This window comes from Homo sapiens, chromosome 8, assembly GCF_000001405.40.
Source record: "Homo sapiens chromosome 8, GRCh38.p14 Primary Assembly".
Lineage (NCBI taxonomy): Eukaryota > Metazoa > Chordata > Mammalia > Primates > Hominidae > Homo > Homo sapiens.
This window is the reverse complement of record NC_000008.11, coordinates 100632989-100655747: the sequence shown is the minus strand read 5'-3', so window position 1 is coordinate 100655747 and position 22759 is coordinate 100632989. Positions and strand designations below refer to the sequence as shown.

The 22759-nt window shown below is 44.3% G+C and overlaps 1 protein-coding gene across 16 annotated transcripts in view; it reads left to right on the top strand.

The window, feature by feature from the left end:
* SNX31 (sorting nexin 31) overlaps positions 1–22759 on the top strand; it is a 90712-nt gene that overhangs the window by 7838 nt on the left and 60115 nt on the right. For 15 of the 16 annotated variants that reach the window (XM_024447085.2, XM_017013161.2, XM_017013162.2 and 12 more), the window contains exons 1-3: positions 6083–6299; positions 6400–6474; positions 19737–19851. In XM_024447085.2, the coding sequence (XP_024302853.1) occupies positions 6234–6299; positions 6400–6474; positions 19737–19851 (256 nt within the window). In that variant the 5' untranslated portion in view covers positions 6083–6233. Of the gene's footprint in view, positions 1–6082; positions 6300–6399; positions 6475–19736; positions 19852–22759 lie in introns of those variants that run through there. The other variant, XM_011516899.2, reaches the window with a different exon arrangement.

Here is a 22759-nt window from a genome sequence, read left to right as displayed (position 1 = left end):
CCTCCCCAGCCTCACTGTCCACTTCTTAGGCCTCACCTATACTTCTCCATAACAACAAACTCCTGCTGATAAAGACATACTCGAGACTAGGTAATTTATAAAGAAAAAGAGGTTTAATGGATTTACAGTTCCACATGGTTGGGGAGGCCTCACAATCATGGCAGAATGCAGAAGCTGAAAGGCACTTCTTACATGGTGGCAGACAAGAGAGAATGAGCCAAGCAAAAGGGGTTTCCTCTTATAAAACCATCTGATCTTGTGAGACGTATTCACCACCACGAGAACAGTATGGGGGAAACTGCCCCCATGATTCAGTGATCTCCCACAGGGTCTCTCCCACAACATGTGAGAATTATGGGAGCTACAATTCAAGATGAGATTTGGGTGGGGATACAGCCAAACCATATCACCTGGCTTTTTGTTTCTTTTAATTTTATCCCAGGCCTTTGCTGTGTTGCCTTCCTAAAATGCTCTTACCAGTTAACTCTTCCTGAAGAATCTCTCTCAAACATCACCTTCTCCAGAAAGCCTTTCCCTCCCTGCTCCTCCCTTCATGCCTGCTGGGTCAATGTCCCTCCTGTGTGCTGTTGTGGCAGACCGGACGTCACCGTGCCCCTTCCCCAAGGTGCTGGTATTTAGCAGTTTTTGAATATTGTCTGCCTCCTCTTCCTAGGCAGTAAGGTTGTTGTAACTGGCCCCACCTTCTGTCTTCAGTTTTGTTTTGTTTTGTTTTTTGAGACGGATTCTCACTCTGTCACCCAGGCTGAAGTGCAATGGCACAATCTCAGTTTACTGCAACCTCTGCCTCCTGGGTTCAGGCAATTCTCCTGCCTCAGCCTCCCTAGCAGCTGGGATTACAGGTGTGTACTACCACATCTGGCTAATTTTTGTAGTTTTAGCAGAGACAGTATCTCACCATGTTGGCCAGGCTGGTCTCGAACTCCTGACCTCAAGTGATCCGCATGCCTCAGCCTCCCAAAGTGCTGGGATTACAGGTGAGAGCCACTGCACCCGGCCCCATCTTTACTTTTTCCATCTTCATCTTTCAATTCCCACATTGAATGTGATGCCTTCACAGAGGCCCTGAAAGGGACGTGTGCTTCTCAGCAGCCCATTCCCAGGTCCCCTGGGGTGGGGGTCACTTCTGCCATGGCTCGATTCCCAGCAGTTTCATTTCCATAGAGTGGTGTTTTCCTGATGTCATCCCTCAAATCTGGGGACTCTTGATTTTCCAGAGTTCCTCAAATGAGTAAGTACAGACTGAAACGTTATTTTTGTTTGGAGAAGTGATTAGGAGCAAGGGCTTTGGAGACTTTCCAGGCAGCCTGGATTTGAATCCTGACTCTTCTCTTACAAACTGTGTGACTTCGGGTGAGTTATTGATTTCCCTCCACCTCAGTTTCGTCTCCTATAAAATAGGGATAACAATCACACCAAAGACCAGGGCAGTGGCTCACGCCTGTAATCCCAGCACTTTGGGAGGCTGAGGTGGGAGGAGCACTTGAGACCAAGGGATTAGAGACTGGCCTGGGCAACATGGGCAAAACACCATCTCTACCAAAAAAATTAAAAAATTAGCCGGGTGTGATGGTGCACCCCTGTAGTCCCAGCTACTTGGGAGACTGAGGTGGGAGGATCACCTGAGCCTGGGGAGGTCAAGGCTGCAGTGAGCCATGATCATGTCACTCCACTCCAACCTGGGCAACAGAGCAAGACCCTGTCTCAAAAACAAAAACAAAAACAAAACCCACCAAGTTCAGATGGTTGTTGCAAGCATTAAATGAGTTTGTGCATGTTACACAGAGTTATGTCTGGCCAAGAGTGAGTGCTGCATAGGGTTAGCCAGTCTTGTTACTACATTCAGGACACTGTCCCTCAGATTGCAGGACACTGTCTCCTTTCCTCTGAGCTGCTCTTCCTCTGTTCCATTCTCCACAGATGCGCACACGGCCAGGGGCTCAGCCCTCTGCTCTCTGGTATGAGGCTGACTGTGGCCACAGCATCAGTGTAGGTTTTCCTTATGGCTTCCATAACAAAGTGCCTCAAACTGGGTGGCTTACGACCACAGAAATGAATTCTCTCATAGTTCTGGAGGCTGGAAGTCTGAAATCAAAGTGTCGGCAGAGCCGTGCTCTCTCTGAAAGCTCTAGGGCTGACTCCTTCCTTGTTCTCCTGAGCTTCTGGTGGCCTGAGGCGCTTCTTGGCTTCTGGAAGCACAACTCCAGCTCTGCCTCGTCTTCATGTGGCCTTCTCCTCTGTGTCTCTGTATTTCCTTTTCTGTGCCTTATAAGGATACGCTAATTGGATGTGGAGCTGCCCTAATCCAGTAGGATCTCATCTTGAGCCTTACCTTATGATGTCTGCCAAGACCCTATTTCCAAATCAGGACACTATTCAACCAACTACAGTCAGTCTCTGAGTAGGTGTTCTGGACCAGAAAATCCTCCAGGAACCATGGACATTTTAGAACCACTGGTGTGATTTTGTAGTTCTCCTATGTATCGTATAATTTTATATATTTCCTCAAATTCCAAAGACCCTAGAGCACCCAACACAGACCAATACAAGTAAAGACAGAGAAAGATACACATCCCAAGCCATCCAGCCTTACCTTTCTGACTCACTCGTCTGAACCTCAAGAGAGTGAGGAGGACACAGGCAGATGAAGAAAAATACACAGGATGCGAAGACTTAACTCTGCATGCCCAACCTTCCAGCTCCTATCCCTTTCTGTGTTTGCTCAAAATAGGTGTCCACCAACCAGGAATCTCTTCCATGTTTGCTCAAGACCCTTTTTTTCATATGGCCACAGCCTTGACTGTTGGGGTGATGTGCGCAACACCTGGGCTATAAGAAAAGATGCAGCAAAGGAACCCATAATGCACATTGGCTGGGCCCCTCTGGTGTAGAGCACCAGACATTATGATCCATCTCACTGGCTCCCTCGTGGACCCTACTGCCCTCCCCATCCCAGAGGCCCAAGGGTGTGAAGGACTCAGGAGACGTGGAAAGTTCCAGAACAAGACAGAGCCATACCTCATTATCCATACCTCCAAAAGAGTGTGGGTACCAGATATCAAAGAGCCAAAAAGATTACACACCAAGTAGATGAGAGGCAACATGCAAATAATGCCTAAGGCTTTCAAAGTAGGAAATAGTGCATTTGTTCTGTAATACTATGGGCCATATTACAGAAATGGCCTCTTTTTAAAATCTGTAAATAAGCTTAGGCTCCATAAGGTTAGGGGACTGAGGCTGCCATGTCTAACAGCCTCACTGCAGCGCCTGGCTCATAAGAAGCACTCAATGAATACTCCCTGAATGAAGAAATGTTAAGCTTTTATTGAGTGCTGACCATGCACCAGGCACAGAGTAAATTAAAATACCCCTTGGAAACAATATAGGATTGATTCAGAAATTGAGCATCATAAATGTTTATTTAAAACTCCATCAAGAATTAAAAACCTGTGGGCCGGGCGCGGTGGCTCACACCTGTAATCCCACGACTTTGGGAGGCCGAGGCGGGTAGATCATGAGGTCAGGAGATCGAGACCATCCTGGCTAACACGGTGAAACCCCGTCTCTACTAAAAATACAAAAAATTAGCCGGGCATTGTGGCGTGTGCCTGTAATCCCAGCTACTCGGGAGGCCGAGGCAGGAGAATGGCATGAACCCGGGAGGTGGAGCTTGCAGTGAGCCGAGCTCACACCACTGCACTCCGGCCTGGGTGACTGAGCAAGACACTGTTTCAAAAAAAAAAAGAATTAAAAACTTGTAAAGGGTGCGCTTGTCAAGTCGTGGTACAGATTTCCCCAGGCACCCCTGAAAAGCAGCTTCACAGAGCACAGGCTCTAGAGGCAGATCACTTACTTCACATCCCCCATCTACTATTCACAAATTCTGCAATTCAGAGCAAGTTTCTTCATTGCCCTATGCTTCAGTTTCCCCATCTGTGAAATGAGAATAATATCAGTACCTACTTCAGGCAATTGTGAGAATTAAATGACTTCATTCATGTAAAGTGTTCAGAGCAGCGCCTCCAATCGCTGCTACCATTATTATACTTCTCTCTTGGTCATGTTTGAAGATTGTCTTGCACAGTGTGGAGTACACAGAAGGAGCTCAATAATGTTCACTGACTGAATGACTGAATAAGAGCTGACTGGCTACAGCAGAGGTCAGGGATGCAAGAGGACGGTGACTTGCACAGAGGCCTGTCCTGTTCCAGTTCAACTCCAGGGGGGCACTTAGTGAAAGGAAGGAAATGGCCCTGTTTGGACATGCCATGGGGTGAAACCAGGGTCCAGGCCATTCACTGGAGCAGGAAAGTTCCAGGAAAGCTGGGGCCACTTCTGGGTCTGACCAAAATGCTCTGCTTTGCCCTGAAGATCAGACCAGATTCCAGAGCTGCCGTGATCAGGCTTTGTCCCAAGAGGCACTCAGGAATACCCCTGGCCTTGGTATAGGGAGGCCTTCCAGATCAGAGATGGCCTATGGGCAGGGGAAATACCCTAAGGCCCATCTATCCTGGACTGAAAATTCCCTTGAAGTAAGTAGAGTTATTAACATGATTTCATAAGAAGGAACTGCAGCTTAAAGAGTGCACTAATTTCACACTTGTAATCTCAGCACTTTGGGAGGCCGAGGTGGACAGATCACCTGAGGTCAAGAGTTTGAGACCAGCCTGACCAACATGGAGAAACCCTGTCTCTACTAAAAATACAAAATTAGCCGGGTGTGGTGGCGTATGCCTGTAATCCCAGCTACTCAGGAGGCTGAGGCAGGAAAATCACTTGAACCCGGGAGGCAGAGGTTGTGGTGAGCTGAGATCGCACCATTGCACTCCAGCCTGGGCAACCAGAGCAAAACTCTGTCTCAAAACAAAAAAAAAAAAAACAAAAAAACACAAAAAACACTAATTTGCCCAAGGCCTCTCAACTAGAAGCCACTAAGCTGGGACATGAATTCCTGTTGCCATTCTCTTAACTACTATATGATACTGCTTCCCTCACTTAATGGCCCTAGCCTCAATTTCCTTTTCTATAAGACCAGAACTGTCAATGGCTCCTAGCCCACAGGTGTTTGTGAAAATTAAATGGCATAGCATATGTCAGGTCCTGGCACCCAGCAAGCACGCAGGAGGCACCGGTGTTTGGCAGGCGTCGCTTCTCCTTCCTTAGTCTCGGATTCCCGTTTCAGGCATGCAGCTCTTACCCCAGGGATGACTGGCATTTGAAAGGACTTTCAATGATCCTGATGAAATCCTGCAGTAAACGACTCAGACCCATGAAAAAAATGCCCTGTGAGCTTGGACAAGTTCCTCCACCCCCTGGGCCTGTTTTGTCCGTGGTAGGATGTCCTCTGTTTACCTGGAAGAGTTACGGGTAGATTAAAGGAGAGAGGGAAGAACGGAGCCAGCCCAGGCTTGCTACAGAACAGGCTGGTGAGAGCTGCAGCATCTCTGTGCTCTGTGATCACGGCAAGGTGGGAGGAATTCTAGTTTCATTTAACTAAAATAGAGAATTAGGAAGATTATTTTCCACAGCAACTAAAAATGAGAGACTGTTGAAAGAACTTGCACTGGGTAGTCCAGAGAACCAAGTGTTTATGTGAATGCACCTGTCTAAAAATGAGGGCTTCTCAGGGATCAAGAGAAACCCAAGCCATTTCCATTTGGGGGGGGCTTCTGGTATTTTAAGGGGAAAAAACAAGATTGAAAGAATAATACGAAAGCAAGGTTGCATATATTGCTGCATGTCTTGTGTTACATTTAACAAATGTCAGTACAAAAAAACTGACCAAACATAACTCTGCTAATCATAAGGCAGTTACTAGATCTATGTAATTACAGAAATCTTAATTAGTGCACTGCAGGCAGCGTTGGCAGGTAATGGGACACAAACTGTTTTCAAGCCCCTCACGGGCCTTCTTGGAGAAAATGCCAACAGTGGCCGATGTCCGGGGTGGGGGTGGCCGTGGATGCGCCCCAGCCCCAGGCGCCACCTATCCCGGGACCAGAGCGGCGGGGCTGGATGGGGCGGGGACTGGGAGGCGGCGCGGCCCGGCCCCGGCCCCACCTGTAGATGTCCCCGGCCGGCGAGAGCGGGCGCCGGGGTTCGCTCTGAGTCGCGTGGCAGGCCGCGCTGCGTCCACCGCTGCCGAGTTCAGAGCCGCGCACCGCCCGCCGCCGCAGGTCGGGTTCCCAGCGCTACTCCCAAGACACCGCTCAGCCATGAAGATGCATTTCTGTATCCCGGTGTCCCAGCAGCGGTCCGACGCGCTGGGGGGCCGCTACGTGGTGCGCCCAGGGCTGGGGTCAGGGTGGGCAGGGAGGGGGCCGGTGGCAATGCTCACTTATCCCTCGGCTCACCAGGGACGGGGTGTCTGTGTGTTTGCAGCTGTACTCCGTGCACCTGGACGGGTTCCTCTTCTGCAGGGTGCGCTACAGCCAGCTGCACGGTTGGAACGAACAGGTGAGCAGATTGGAGGCGGGTACGAGCCCATCCACTGAGACAGGTGGAGAAAGCTGTCCCCAAAGCGCTCTGTTCCTCTGACTCTGGCAAGACACTGGGCCTTTCACGGCCTCGGGCTTCCTATTGTGAAACAGGGTCCTGGTAAGGATGAACTGAATTGCTTGGCATACAGTTGGATGAATGCATGCTGCGGCTCCTGGTCGCCTACAGCTGTGAGATGAGGGAACCGGGCGCAGGTGATTCTTCCAAGCCCCTCGCAGTTGCAGCCGGGTGATCCCCGCTAGCGCCGCCTGGCAGGGCGCTGGGGCTATGCTGGGCCCCATTTCAGTGCCCGCTGTTCCCCAGGACAATGCTTCCCTCCAAAATTTGGAAACTGGGTCTAGATCAAGGCCTAGAGTCTTTGGAGTCTTGTACATGGGTATTTAATCTCCTTTGTCTCGAGAGTTTCTTAAGTTTGCCCCCTTTAAAAAGGTGTGTCTCTAGTTTTGTTTTTGAATGGCCATGAGGCTTCAAGTACTGGCAGGCTGGGAACCAGGGAACATGACTTACCAAGCTAGGATAGTTTCTCACCCTGCTGTCTTGACAGTATTTTCTCTGGGAGGCAGACTGATTTATTAGTCTGCTCTAATGGGTTTCATTGTTCTTATAAGGAGGTGTTATAAGTCTTCAAAATGGATTAGAGAAGTAAATGAAAGTTTAGAAATAAACTTTACACTCCTCCTCCACTCCCCCATGAATAGTGATTTTTGTTTTTTTGTTTTAGATTTTAGGTTATAAACAGCACATACCTAACATTAAAAACAAAAGTATAGGCCAGGCACCGTGGCTCATGCTTGTAATCCCAATACTTTGGGAGACTGAGGCAGGAGGATTACTTGAGTCCCAGAGTTTGAGACCAGCCTGGGCAACATAGCCGAGACCTTGTCTCTATTAAAAAAAAAAAAAAAAAAAGTGTAGAGAAAACTGAAAAAACTTTCCCAGAGGTAACAGCTGTTTTTGTTTGTTTGCTTGTTTTGAGAGAGTTTTTTCAGACAGTCTCTGGGTTTCTAGTGAGTTAGATACACCATGTTTCATTTAACCATCTTCTGTTGACCGACAGCTTAGTTTGTTTTTTCTGCTATTAAATTGTCACTGTAGCAAGCCTTCTTGCTCATACATCACAGTGCATTGGAAAAGTCCATTTTCAAGGTGTGATTAAGTATCTTTGGAGTCAACCAAGAACAGTTGTAATGTGGTTACTAGTTAATTTGAGTGGTCATCTTTGTATTACTAGTGCTGTGACCCAGTAGGTCCTTAGGAACGATTGTCAAATGATTGAATGAAGAATGGCATAGATTCAGACTTCTGGAAGATAAGAAGCTACTTGTGACTGAAACACATGGGGAATTGTGAGGACTGCAGAGGCAGGGATCTCAAAGGAAGAGAAAGGATGAGTGTCTTAGGCATTGGCAGGGGGAGGCAGGGTATCCTCTCCTACCCTCCTCTGTTTTCCTGCAGCTTGAGGTGGGGAAGGGGCAGGAGCAGAGCAGGAGGCAGCAAGAGAGCCTGTGACTGATCAACTGCGTCCTGGCTGATCACCTCACCTCTCCTCTGATCTTCAATTTTCTCATCAGAAATAATAAGCAAATGGGTCCTTATGGATGTCAGCCTCACAGTGTGCTTGTGAAGATTAGGGGCCAGCTGCTTGCAGAGCCTGGTACATAATATATGCTCAGCAAACATTTGTGGACTCAAGAGGCTTCAAGCACTCCTGAATCTGGCCCTCCTTACCCAATAGACTTGGGAAAATGCTTATTTTCAGGAAAACTCAGATGAACCAAATCCTAGCAGGTCCAGAAGCAGAGGCATAGAGTGAGTAAATTTTATTCTTGATCTTCTATTTGGTAAGACATGAAGTAGAAATTGTCTGTTATTTACTATTGGGGCCTTTAAATATTGAATTACCATGGCTCAGTGCCCTCAGTAGGACATACAATAGATTTTAATAAAATAGATTTTAATAAATATTTCATATTTATCCCAGATTTCTCAAAATAGTAAAATGGAAATTTCTTTGTCTAGTTTCCAACTTCCATATATCGCATATGAATATTTATCATTTTCCCCCTTTCTATACAAACTACTACATTTTTAAAGAAACTATTTAGATCTTAGATGGCTATTGGTATTTATAATCAATCTGAAACAATAACAAGTAGTTACTGTGTGCTGAGTTTGGTACCAAACACTTTACCTGTAATAGCTTAATTTTTATAATAGCCTTATGAGCTAGCATTAGAATTAGTCCAATTTAACAGGTGAAGCAGCTGAGGCACAATTTTCCTAAAGTCATATTGTTAATGTTGGAGGCAGGACTTGATTTCTAGAACCTGCTCTGACCTATTACATTAATGTGATTTCTTTCTAACGTTGATAAAATAAATCGTATCAGTAAAACAATGAGTCAAATGACTGAGTCCTAAACTAACATACTTTTACTGTATTTTGGAATCATGTAATGTAATAAAATTCCCCAACTTTATGGGTTCAGTGTAATGAATTTTGGTAAATGTATACAATTACCACCACCATGATCGAGGTTAAAATTTTTTTTTGCCTCACTCTAAAAGTCCCCTTGTCCTTGAAGGAAACCAAAATATTTTATCCCAAAATGTACTACTATGACATATTTCAAGATGGCTGTGTAGAAAGCTGGAAATATCAGAATAGCTGAAAAGCTGCCTTTTGTGGAGGAGATTTGCACCTGTAGAGAGAATCTGTATTGATGCAGCCAGGCTTTCTCTGAAGTCCTCTCTTGTTCAGATTTAGGAAAGAATCACAGAGAGTCTGACACCTTTAAAGGTCTGAAACAAATGTTTACCAACTGTTCTTTCTGAGAGCTGCTACCTGTGGGTTTCCTCTGTATACTAAGACCACTTTTGCTTGCCGGGTCTCTCCTCTTCTTCCCGTGACCTGTCTTGCCACCATAACCTGATTTGCCACCATAACCTGTTTTTGACCATGCCGCTTTTTTCTGTAATCTCAAGATGGTATAAAACCATCAACTATTTGGCCATTTCTTTGAGATCTTTTATTTTGTAAGACTCCCGCGCATGTTAGTAAATTTGTATGCCTTTCCTCCTATGAATCTGCCTTTTGTCAGGTGGTTTTTCAGTGAAGCTTCAGAGGATGAAGGGGAAGTTTACCCTTGGCCCCGATAGTCTTTTTGCTCTCAATCCCCTTCATTCAGCCCTGACCCCAGGCCTCCAACATCTACTCTCTGTCATGCGAGTTCCAGACACAGGATTTTGTTCCAGCAAGTCCCCAGTAAGGTCAGCAGTTCAATCATCATCATCATTCTCATTTTATAGGTAAAGAGTCTGAGGCCGGGCATGGTGATTCACACCTGCAATCCCAGCACTCTGGGAGGCCAAGGTGGGTGGACTGCCTGAGCTCGGGAGTTCAAGACCAGCCTGGGCAACATGGCAAAACCCTGTCTCTACCAAAAATACAAAAAATTAGCCAGGCATGGTGGTGCTCCTGTAATTCCAGCTATTCAGGAGCCTGAGGTGGGAGGATCGCTTGAGCCTGGGAGGTGGAGGTTGCAGTGAGCTCAGATTGCGCCACTGCACTCCAACCTGGGTGACAGAGTGAGACCTTGTCTCAAAAAAAAAAAAAAAAAAAAAAATGAAGAGTCTGAGTAGGGTTGCTAGATTTAGCAAATACAAATACAAAGTCTCCCAATTAAATTTAAATTACAAATCAACAACAAACAATTTTTTTTAGTATAAGTATGCCCCATGCACCACTTGATACATATTTAACTGAGCATCCTGTATTTTATCTGGCCACCCTAAGTCTGAGGCTGAAAGTTTGGGTGACCTCTCCCAGATATTTCTCAGCTAGTTTTTATTTCTCCTATTCAGTGGAGGATGTGAAACAGCTCAGAATTCTTAATCTGATTTAACACAGAGCACTGTAAAGAAGGAAATAGTAGAAAGGTCCCATCTGTGTGTGTGTTTGGGGAATATGAGTTTATTTCCAGTTTATTTTCTGGGAAGTTCTGCATCCTGATAGAATAGTTTTCTTCTATATAATTAACTGATTATTTGCTTAAGAAATGTTTACTAAGTTTCTGTTATATGCCACGCATTCTGTTAAATTAGGACTATTACTTTAGCATGTGTGATCTTTGGCTTTAAGAATTGGACTTATATTTTGCATGTTGGATAACTGAGATTGAGGGGCAGTACCTGGCACAGGTGAGGTGGCCTCTACTCCATCTCAGCCAGGGTATGTGGAGAGCTAATGCATAAAAACTGGACCTGGGTTGGCCAGGTGCAGTGGCTCACACCTGGAATCCCAGCATTTTGGGAGGCCAAGGTGGGTGGATCACTTCAGCTCAAGAGTTTGAGACCTGCCTGGGCAATGGTAAAACCCCGTCTCTACTAAAATACAAAAAATTAGCCAGGTGTGGTGGCATGTGCCTATAATCCCAGCTACTTGGGAGAATGAGGCACGAGAATTGCTTGAACCCAGGAGGCACAGATTGCAGTGAGCTGAGATCCCACCACTGCACTCCAGGCTGGGCAACAGAGGGAGACTCTGTCTCAAAACAAAAACCAAAACAAAGAAAAGCTGGACCTTGGGAAGAGGTGGATGTGTTTCCATGGGCTCTGCTGTGACCTGCGCCCTCTGTCATCCTCACCTGCAGTCCTGTCCCCAGTGAGGCTCCCTCGGGCTCTGGCAGCTTTTTGACCCTCTGCTGCTCAGTGCTGCTCATCTTCCTGCTGTGTGAACTGGCTGGCCCCACATTTTCTGTGCCTTTAGATAAACAAAACCAGTTTGATTTATGCCCCTGCTCTTGCTGGCACCACCCTGCCCAAATAGATTTAAAGAAATCTGTGAGGGAAACATTTAATCAGCTCATTTTGACCAAGTTACAGATGAGGCCATCCTGTGTAAGTGATATGGGGCTCTGTGAACAGTGATATGGGGCTCTGTTTCTTTGCACTCTGCCAGCATCAGACATGGCAATGGGGACAAGTTGGGAAAGCTTGCAAAGGACCCGTCAGTAGGAGGGGAGGGCTGTGCAGCCTGTGTGCGCTGGTTCAGTTGTCCTCCCTGCCAAGTGCTGACCCAACTTGGCTGCTTCCCCTCTGACCTAACCTGATCTCCTCTTTCCCTACCCATACCTCCTGTTCCTATCAGGCTGGCCCACTCTTTGTCTCTGCCTGGCTCACTTCCTCTGCCTGGGATGACTCCTGGTTTTAGTCTACCTGTCAAGGGAGCAATCGTTTCTCAAAGCCCACCTCAGTCCCATCTCCTCCAGGAAGTCCTCCTTGATTGCATGAGATGCCTTTCTCTGATTGCTGTGCCGCTTCATGTTTCAACCTTGTCATGCTCCTTCCTCTTTTTGTGTTTATATTTTGTCTCCCCTGATTATTTATAAGCAAAATCCAAATATTTGAATGAAGGGACAGAATGAAGGCTTGTGGGTATGGAACACCCAGCATGGAATTCTGCCTTGGTAGTTGCTTAGCAGAGATTTGGTGGAAAAGGTGATGGTGATGATGATGACAGCAGTGAGAAGACTGAGTCCATCTTCTGCCAGTCATCAGCTTGGATGTCCTAGTTTTAAGTCACTTCATCTCCCTGAGTCTGGGGTTGCTCCCGCTCAAGGTTCATGGTGCTGAGGATCTGTCTACCTCGTAGTGCTGTTTTGAGGAACAAATGGGATAATATGCAAGCTCTAGGCCATGCTCTTAGGTGCTAGATGCCACCACCCAGACTCTGAGCTGTGGCCCTTTATCTGGTGAATTTGGGTTTTTAACTACAAGGGGACTTGGAGAGGTGGGAAGAATGAGTCGACATTAGAAACAGACACCTTTTGTGTCTGTAATTCTACTTGTCCCAGGCCATCACCATTTTGGCATAGGTATAGGGGGGTGTGAATGCAGTAAGGTGGGGGAAGTAGGTGACATTTTCAACTGGCCTGTAAAGGCCTCTTCATGTTAAAAGGCAGAGCTGTACGAAGGGGTAGTTGGTACAGGAGATTGTTCTGGGATTTTTTTGTTTGTTTCTGTTTTGTTTTGTTTTTTTGAGACGGAGTCACGCTCTTTCACCTAAGCTGCAGTGAGGTGGTGCGATCTCAGCTCACTGCAACCTCCACCCCCCCCAAGTTCAAGTGATTCTCCTGCCTCAGCCTCCCGGGTACCTGGGATTACAAGTGCCTGCCACCACACCTGGCTAATTTTTGTATTTTTAGTAGAGAGGGGGTTTTGCCATGTTGGCCAGGCTGGTCTTGAACTCCTGACCTCAGGTGATCTGCCTGCCTCAGCCTCCCAAAGTGCTAGGATTACAGGCATGAGCCATCACGCCCGCCCTGTTCTGGGGTTTATGAAAATATTTGTCAGATCACAGTCTTAAAAAAAACCCACAATACTCCAAACAAACAAAAACACCACATAATAAAAGAGCAGAACAGATATGTTTTCCTTTTGATCTCTTTAAACAGTTTTTTGAAAGACAGGTAGGGCTGAACTGTAGTACCAGATACTTCTCAGTACGCTGGTGGTTTTGATAGCTCAACTGTGTACTGAGACCCATGGAAAAGGTCCTCTTTTGGTGGAGTTGAATTTGGATTTGATTGTTGACTTTTGGCACATTTAACTACTCAGTTTCCTTTATGTTCATTGTCCCCCTTAGGTCAGTATCCGAGAAGGGAGGAGAAAGATTCCTTGACAAGTCAGCTCAGGTTGTAAAAACCTGCTGGGAAGGTTTCTGCTCTGTGATAGGTATTAGAACCTTAATCCTTGTTGATTTTTCCCCAGATCTTGGCCTCAGGGCTTCCCCAAGATACTGTCTTGCAGATGGATAACTCAGGCAGCCCTGTTGATTCAAGGCTGCTGTGATTAGAACTGATTCGGGAACATCTGCGACATTTACGAACACATGCCAATGAAGACAATGGCCTTTTAAAGATCACTTAATCAGTTAGCCAAGAAATAATTGCATGCAAAGAAGTCAAATTTTTGCTTCTATTTAATGGAATTAGCAGAGATGGGTGCATCAATCCCAGGTTGTTTCAGCAGCCCTGCCTGGGATAATGCTCCAACTGGGATGCCTTTTGACAGTCTCTGGAAGGGCCGAAAAATTTCCTTGAGTTTAAAAGAAACAGAATTGTCTTTATAATATTTTGTTTGTTTGTTTGTTTGAGATGGAGTCTCGCTCTGTCGCCCAGGCTGGAGTGCAGTGGCGCGATCTCGGCTCACTGCAAGCTCCGCCTCCCGGGTTCGCGCCATTCTCCTGCCTCAGCCTCCCGAGTAGCTGGGACTACAGGCACCTGCCACCAAGCCCGGCTAATTTTTTTGTATTTTTAGTAGAGACGGGGTTTCACCGCGTTAGCCAGGATGGTCTAGATCTCCTGACCTCGTGATCCGCCCGCCTCGGCCTCCCAAAGTGCTGGGATTACAGGCGTGAGCCACCACGCCCGGCCTATAATATTTTATACTAGGTTTAATCGTACTCTAGCCTGGGCCACAGGAGTGAGACCCTGTCTCAAAAAAAAAAAAAAATTATACTAGGTTTAGATGAGAGATTGCAAACTTAAATGGCTACAGGCAAGTACCATACATATATATATATATATATATATATATATATATATGCGCGTGTGTGCGTGTGTGTGTGTATGTGTATATATATATATATATATATATATATATATTTTTTTTTTTTTTTTTTTTTGAGACAAGGTCTCACTCCAGTGGCCCAGGCTGGAGCGCAGTGGTGTGATCTCGGCTCACTGTTGCCTTAGCCTTGAAGTCTCCAGCTCAGGTTATTCTCCCACCTCAACTTCCTGAGTAGCTGGGACTACAGGCACATGCTACCACACTTGGCTTAATTTTTTGTATATTTAGTAGAGACAACATCTTGCCATGTTACCTAGGCTGGTCTTAAACTCATGGACTCAAGCAATCTGCCCACCTAGGCCTCCCAAAGTGTTGAGATGACAGGCGTGAGCCACCGCAGCCAACTGGCAGGTACTTTAAATGAGAGATGAGGATCAGGTGAACAACAGTGGAGAGTGGTGGGAATGGTTTAGGTCCCCTCACCAGACAGTTGCCTGAATGTGAACCCATTGATTCCAGATCTCAGTTTTCCAGAGAAGCCAGAACATCAGTTTTTTTTTAAATAAACTTAATTTTTGAAACAGTTTTAGTTTTCAGAAAAGATAGGACAGAGGGTTTCCATATAATCCACAGTTTCCTCTATTATTAAGGTTTTATATTAATATGGTGCATTCATTACAATTAACAAATCAGTATTGATACATTCTTATTAACTACAATCTATAACTTTTCAGACCTCCTTAGTGTTTACCTAATGTCCTATTTCTCTTCCAGGACCCTGGCCAGTGTACCACATTACATTGAGTTGTTAGGTCTCCTTAAGTTCCTCTTGTCTGTAACAGTTTCTTAGATTTTCCTTATGTTTAATGACCTTGATAATTCTGATGAGTACTTGTCAGATATTTTGTAGAATATCCTTCTTGGAATTTGTCTTATATTTTTTACATAATTAGATGGGGGTTATGGGTTGGGGGGATGAAGACCCCAGAGATAAAGTGCCGCACTAATCACATCGTATCAAGAGTACCTACTATCATCTGACTTACACTCTTGATGTTGGTCTTCATCACCTGGGTGAGGTAGTATTTGTCAGTTTTCTCCACTGTAAAGTTACTCTTTTGTCCTCTCTTTCCATAGTATCCTCTTTGGAAGGAAGTCACTACATGCAGCCCACACTGAGAGTGGGGATTTATGCTCCCCCTTTTTGAGAAGTATCTATAGAAATTATCTGATATGGCTGGGCGTGGTGGCTCACGCCTGTAATCCCAACATTTTGGGAGGCCAAGGTGGGTGGATCACCTGAGGTCAGGAGTTTGAGACCAGCCTGACCAACATGGAGAAACCCCGTCTCTACTAAAAATACAAAATTAGCCAGGCATAGTGGCACATGCCTGTAATCCCAGCTACTCGGGAGGCGAGGCAGGAGAATTACTCGAACCCAGGAGGCAGAGGTTGCAGTGAGCCAAGATGGCACCATTGCACTCCAGCCTGGGCAACAAGAGCAAGACTCTGTCTCCAAAAAAAAGAAAAGAAAAGAAAAGAAATTATCTGATGTTCTTCTGCACAAGAGATTTGTCTAGTCGCTCCTATTTATTTAAAACAAGTCTGTAAGGACTCATGGATATTCACTTTATACTTTGGGTCATATTTCACTACTACTTGGTTGGTCAAATTGTTCCATCTTGGCCCATGGAAGCTCTTTCATTTTGCTCCTTGTCTCTGACATACTCCCATTCCTGATTTGTTTTTTTCATTTGTTTTGAATGTTTCCTTACTTTCTGGAGCTACAAGGTACTCCAGGCCCATCTTATATATTTCCTGCCTCAGTCCTAGAAATCAGCCATTTCTCCATAGATCCTTGGTTGCACTGATTGTAGAATGGTATTGCAATCTAAGATCTGGGCACTAGATATGTTCATTGTTACTGGAGTGTTGTTGCATCTAGGTCCTCTCAGCTGACAGAGCAAGGAAATATATGTGTGTATACAAACCCATGTATACAGACACATGAATAAATATTTCTATATGTAGTCATCTATATTAAACTAAACATGTGGTCATACTAATATATTCAACTCTAGTGCATTACCACATGGATCATTCTAGCCTCTTCCCCTTATGTGTAAACTGCCACTACAACAGTTGGAAACCTGACTCCCACTATCTGCCATTCATTTACTTGTTTGATTCTGTATACACATGTGGCAGTATAGTGCTGTTAACCTATACTCCTGTGGAAAACAACTTTATCAGCCAGAGTCCAATGCCTGTGTACAGTTAGTTTCTTTGCCTTTAGTTTACAGACTCCACTCATTTTCAAAGTGACTTAGGTCAGCACTTTTTTTCTCACCACGTTCAGTGAGTTGGTTTCATACATTTGTAACATAGTTTTATCACATTCTACATTCCATCCTCGGATTCCCCAAACCTCCTAAATTATTTCTAAAAATATTTGCAAACACGAAGCTTCTGTTGTAAAGTTCAGAAAACATCAAGTTCTGTTGTAATTTTGACTAATGCATAGTGTCATGCATCCACAATTCTAGTTTCACATAGACTAGTTTTATTGCCCTAAAAAACTCCATGTGTTTCAGTTATTCTGTACCTCCCTGCCCCAAAACTTTGTGGCTGTTGATCTTTTTATAAAGTCTCTATACTTTTGGCTTTTCCAGAAAGTCATATAATTGAAATCATATAGTATATAGCTTTTCCAGACTGACTCCTGTCGCTTAGCAATATTTATTTACGTTTCTTTCATGTCTTTTGTGTTTTGATATCTTATTTCATTTTATTTCTGAATAACACATTCCATTGTATGGATATATCACAGTTTGCTTATCCATTCACAGACTGAAGGACATCTTTGTTGTTTAAATTTTGGGGGTTATGAATTAAGTTGCCATAAACATTTTGTATGGACAGTTTTCAAATCAGTTGGGTATTTATCGCTGGATTATAGAGTGAGACTATGTTTAGCTTTGTAAGAAATTGCCAAACTGTCTTTCAAAGTGGTTGTAATATTCTGTATTCTCTTCAAGATACAAGTTTTTAAAATTTTAAGTCACACAAATAACTGCTGGTACCAAATTCCAGTTATCTAAAAATCAAACAACCAACCACCAAAAAAATGCATCAGGGAAGTGTGTTTTGCCCACGGGCAGGCAGTTAATAACCATTCCAGATGTTAGACCAATGTTTCCCAATAGAACTTTTGTGCTGATGGAAATGCTGTATATCTGCTTTGCCCAACTCAGTAGCAAATTACAATATTTCAAGTGGCTATTAAGCATTTGAAATGTGGCTAGCAAGACTGGAGATTGAATTTTAAAATTTCAAATTATTTTAATTATGTTTAAATTTACTCACAGGTGGCTAATGCCAACCATATTAGATGGCACAGTTCTAGGTCATTGTAAGAATTTTGGGTTTACTTGAGTGAGATGAGAAGTTGAGGATGATTTTGAGAAAGGCAGTGGAATGATCTGACTTACTTTTCTTATTTTAAGAAATGATAAAGTCTTGCTCTGTTGCCCAGGCTGGAGGGCAGTGGCTAGCCTTGAACTCCTGGGCTCAAGCAACCCTCCTGCCTCAGCCTCCCAAGTAGCTGGGACTACAGGTGTGCATGACTGCACCTGGCTGACTTACATTTTTAAAGTATCACTTTAGGCTGGGTGCAGTGGCTCACACCTGTAATCCCAGCACTTTGGGAGGCCGAGGCAGCCAGATCACCTGAGGTCAGGAGTTTGAGACCAGCCTGGCCAACATGGCAAAACCCCGTCTCTACTAAAAATACAAGAATTAGCTGGGCGTGGTGGCACACACCTGTAGTCCCAGCTACTCAGGAGGCTGAGGCAGGAGAATCACTTGAACCCAGGAGGTGGAGGTTGCAGTGAGCCAAGATCATGCCACTGCACTCCAGCCTGGGCGACAGAGCGAGACTCTGTCTCAAAAAGATAAAATAAAATAAAAATAAAGTATCGCTTTAGATGCTGTGTTAGGAATAGACTGAAGGAGTCACGGGTAGAAGCAGAGAGACTTGTTGGAAGGCGATTGCAATAATCTAGAAAAGAGATGATAGTGACTTGGACCAGGGTGATGGTAGTGGGCATGGAGAGAAGTCATGAGATTCTTGACTTTTCTGAAGTTAGGGCCTGTCTATGCAAGGTAAATATTTGTCAGATACTCACTGTATTTGTGACAAAGGCCATGGAATTAAAAAATCTTGCTGTTTGCAGCCTCATTTTTCTTATTCCATCTTTCATTTTCTTTAAGCCACTGAGTATGGTAATAGTAAGATTTCAGCCCTCCTGCTCTAGAGGTACCATGTCAAAACCTGATTGGGTTTCTGAGTGGTTTCCTTTCTCTTATTTTCAGGAGAATGAATCTGTGCCTTACCTTCAAGCTGCCACTACAAGTGTTGGGCTGGAATAAAGATGCACATTTTTAGTTCTTAATTTTAAAATTATTTTTTATGCATCCACTTTTTAGGTTCCATAAAAATAATTACTGCCATGGTCATGGGTCATATATGAGTAAGTGGGAGAGAAGGGCCTGGCTGGTTTCTACTTGGGATCATATGTCAGCCTTATTGGAATTCTGTAACCAGCACTGGTCCAATAGAAATATAATGTGAGTCACCCGGCCGGGTGTGGTGGCTCACGCCTGTAATCCCAGCACTGTGGGAGGCAGAGGCAGGTGGATCACCTAAGGTCAGGAGTTTGAGACCAGCCTGGCCAACATGGAGAAACACTATCTCTACTAAAAATACAAAATTAGCCTGGCCTGGTGGCAAATGTCTGTAACCCCAGCTACTCGGGAGGCTGAGGCAGGAGAATTGCTCGAACCCAGGAGGCGGAGGTTGCAGTGAGCCAAGATTGAGCCATTGCACTCCAGCCTGGGCAACAAGAGTGAAACTCCGTCTCAAAAAAGAAAGAAAGAAAGAAAGAAATATGAGTCACCTGTGTAATTTAAAATTTTCTGATAGGCACATTAAAAAGAGTAAAAGGAAACAGATGGAATTAATTTTAATAATATATTTTATTTAATTCAATATATCCAAAATATTATCATTTCAACATGTAATCAGTATAAAAAATTATCAGCGAGATATTTTACATTCTCTTTTCTTTGAAATTTGGAATGTATTTTACACCTACAACACATCTCAATCCAAACTAGCGACGTTCAAGTGCTCATTCACAACAGGTGACTGGTGGCTACCGCTTTAGGTGACACAGCTGTAAGCATTTGTCAAGTTCAGATTTGGTGGCGGTAGGGCTGAGGAATTTAATTCCCGTTGTAATTGATATCACAGACACTGTTGTGGAATGAATCAAGATAATATTGTATGATGTGAGCAGTGGCTAGTCTTGTAAAACAAATGAAAAATAAAAATACATCTCAGCTCTACCAAACTTAGACTGGAGCTGTCGGTCTGTGATATGTCTAGTAATGTCTCCAGAATATATACTGAAATAAATTCCTCCTTAAGAAAATCAGATTGTCCTCTTTTCCCCCTTTGGGCTACCAGGAAAGCTTAATTTGAAATAAAGTGCTGGGATGGGACTTGCCCTAAAGGAGACTTTAGTAATCTCATCAACCCTGAACTGGCGGCTCACCTGCCTTAACTGTGTTTCCTGGATCTTTCAGCTAAGGCGGGTCTTTGGAAATTGCCTGCCACCCTTCCCACCAAAGTACTATCTGGCAATGACCACAGCTATGGCTGATGAGAGGAGGGACCAACTGGAACAATATTTGCAAAATGGTATGTATTTGCAGGGTTTTTTAAAAAACAGATTTATTGCAATGTAAGCTATATGCCACAAAATTCACCTGCTAAAGTGTACAATTCTTTTACAATATATTTATGTAATTAATTGTGCGACCATTACCGTAATCTAATTTTAGAATATTGTCACTACCCCCAAAAGAAACCTCATACCCATTGGCAATCACTTCCTCTTTCCCTCCCCCACCACGCCCTGGCAACTACCACTATAATTTTTATCTCTAAAGATTTGCCTATTCTGGACGTTTCATATATAAGGGATTATATAATATGTGTTCTTTGTATTTGGTTTTAAAAATACCTTTTTTTTTTTTTTTTAAGAGATGAAGTCTGGCTGGGCATGGTGGCTCACACCTGTAATCTCAGCACTTTGGGAAGCTGAGGCAGGAGGATCACTTGAGGCCAGGAGTTCAAGACCAGCCTGAGCAACATAGAGAGATCCTGTCTCTAAACAAAATTTTAAAAATTAGCCAGGTATGATGGTGCATGCCTATAATCCCAGCTACTCAGGAAGCTGAGGTGAGAGGATAGCTTGAGCATAGGAAGCTGAGGCTGCAGTGAGCTGTGATTGCACCACCGTACTCCAGCCTGGGTGACACAGCAAGACAGTGACTCTAAAAAAGATAAAAATAAATAAATAAATAAATAAAAGAGATGAGGTCTCACTATGTTGCCCAGGCTGGTCTCAAATTTCTGGGCTCAAGTGATCCTCCTGCCTCAGCTTCCTAAAGTGTTAGAATTACAGGTATGAGCCACCACACCCAGCCTAAATGTCTCAGCAGTTATATGTTTGCTGATTTTATTTTTTGAGACAGGATCTTTCCCTGTTGACGAGGCTGGAGTACAGTGGCACAATCGTGGCTAACTATAGCCTTGGTCTCCTGGGGGGTCAAGCAATCCTCCCACCACAGCTTCCTGAGAAGCTGGGACTATATGTGCAACGCACCATGCCTGGCCAATTAAAAAAAAAAATTTTTTTTACAGAGGTGGGGTCTCACTATATTGCCCAGGCTGGTCTCAAACTCCTGGCCTCAAGCAATCCTCCCATGTCAGCCTCCCAAAGTGCTGGGATTATAGATATGAGCCACTGCACCCAATATTTAATTTTTTTTTTTTAAGACAGAGAGACAGAGTCTCGCTCTGTCGCCCAGGCTGGAGTGCAGTGGTGTGACCTTGGCTCACTGCAACCTCTGCCTACCAGGTTCAAGCAATTCTCCTGCCTCACCCTCTCTAGTAGCTGGGATTACAGGTGCTTGCCACCATGCTCAGCTAATTTTTGTATTTTTTTAGTAGAGATGGGGTTTCACCATGTTGGCCAGGCTGGTCTCGAGCTCCTGATCTCAAACGATCTGCCCACTTCAGCTTCCCAAAGTACTGGGATTACAGGGGTGAGCCACCATGCCTGGCCTACTTTATGTTTAGAGTCACACTTGGGTGCTGTATTTTGGCTTTGATTGGGAGGTTAAAAAAAAAGTTTCTGGATTAGGAATGAACAAAAGGATGAGATGAACCACTTACAGGAAAGCCCTTGAGAGATGTCAGAGGTCTTTATTAGCAGTGCCAGAGCTTGTGCCTTCATGTTAGTCCTTACCAGGAAGCCATGCTAAGGCACCAAGGACATTCAGCTGTGTCCCCTGTGAGGCTTACAGTACAACAGCTTGCCCTTCGCCTGGGTCCTAGAAATGCTGTGTACAGCAAAACTGTTGTTGGCAAGATTAGGCTGTCACGGAAAAGAGGATGTTGAGGGGAAATGGCAAAACTGGCACTTAAAGACTTAAAGTTTTTAAAATTGGAAAAGTGTATACACATAATATTTCTTAAAATATAAACTACCTAAAAGAATATACAATGAAAGGTAAGTTCCCTTTCCACCCCAGGCTGTTTGTATATTACCTAGCAGCAATTTGCGTGTATATAGATCCCTTTTTGCTCAACACAAATTGAACTTTACTATACATACTTTTCTGTAGCTGATTTTCAGAGCTTTTTATTCTGAAAGTTTGGTTTACAGAAAAGTTGCAAACATAATGCTAAGCATTTCTGTATACGCCACCCAGATTTCCCAGATGTTTACATTTTACATTTGTCTTATCATTCTTTTTTCCTTGTGTGTGTATGTGTATATATGAATCTCTCTATATCTTTTTTTTAGACTCACTTGAATCTTACACACCTCAGCCATCTTATTTTAAGATACTTTGTGACTTTGGGAGGCTGAGGTGGGCAGATCATCTGAGGCCAGGAGTTCAAGACCAGCCCGGCCTACATGGCAAAACCCCGTCTCTACTAAACAGACAAAAAATTAGCTGACCATGGTGGCACGTGCCTGCAATCGCAGCAAATTGGGAGGCTAAGGCAGGAGAATCACTTGAACCCGGGAGGAGGAGGCTGCAGTGAGCCAAGATCACACCATTGCACTCCAGCCTGGGCAGTGAGAGTGAAACTCCATCTCAAAAAAATAAATAAATAAATAAAATACTTTGTGTATTTCCTAAGATCACAGAGACTGTCTTATAGAACCACAGTATAGTTAGCAAAATCAGGAAACAACATTGATACAATAATGTTCAATATATCAAAACCAGGAAACAACATTGATACAATAATCTATCTAGAGACCTTATTCAAACTTCACCAACAATTAGGCTCGGCATGGTAGCTCATGCCTGCAATTCCAGCACTTTGGGAGGTTAAGGCAGGAGGATCCCTTGAGCCCAGGAGTTCAAGGCCAGCCTGGGCAATATAACAAGACCCCATCTGTACCCAAAAATAAAAAATAAATAAAAATTAGCTGGGTGTAGTGGCACGTGCCTGCACCTACTTGGAAGGCTGAGGTGGGAGGATTGCTGGAGCCCAGGAGTTTCAGGCTGCAGTAAGCTCTGAT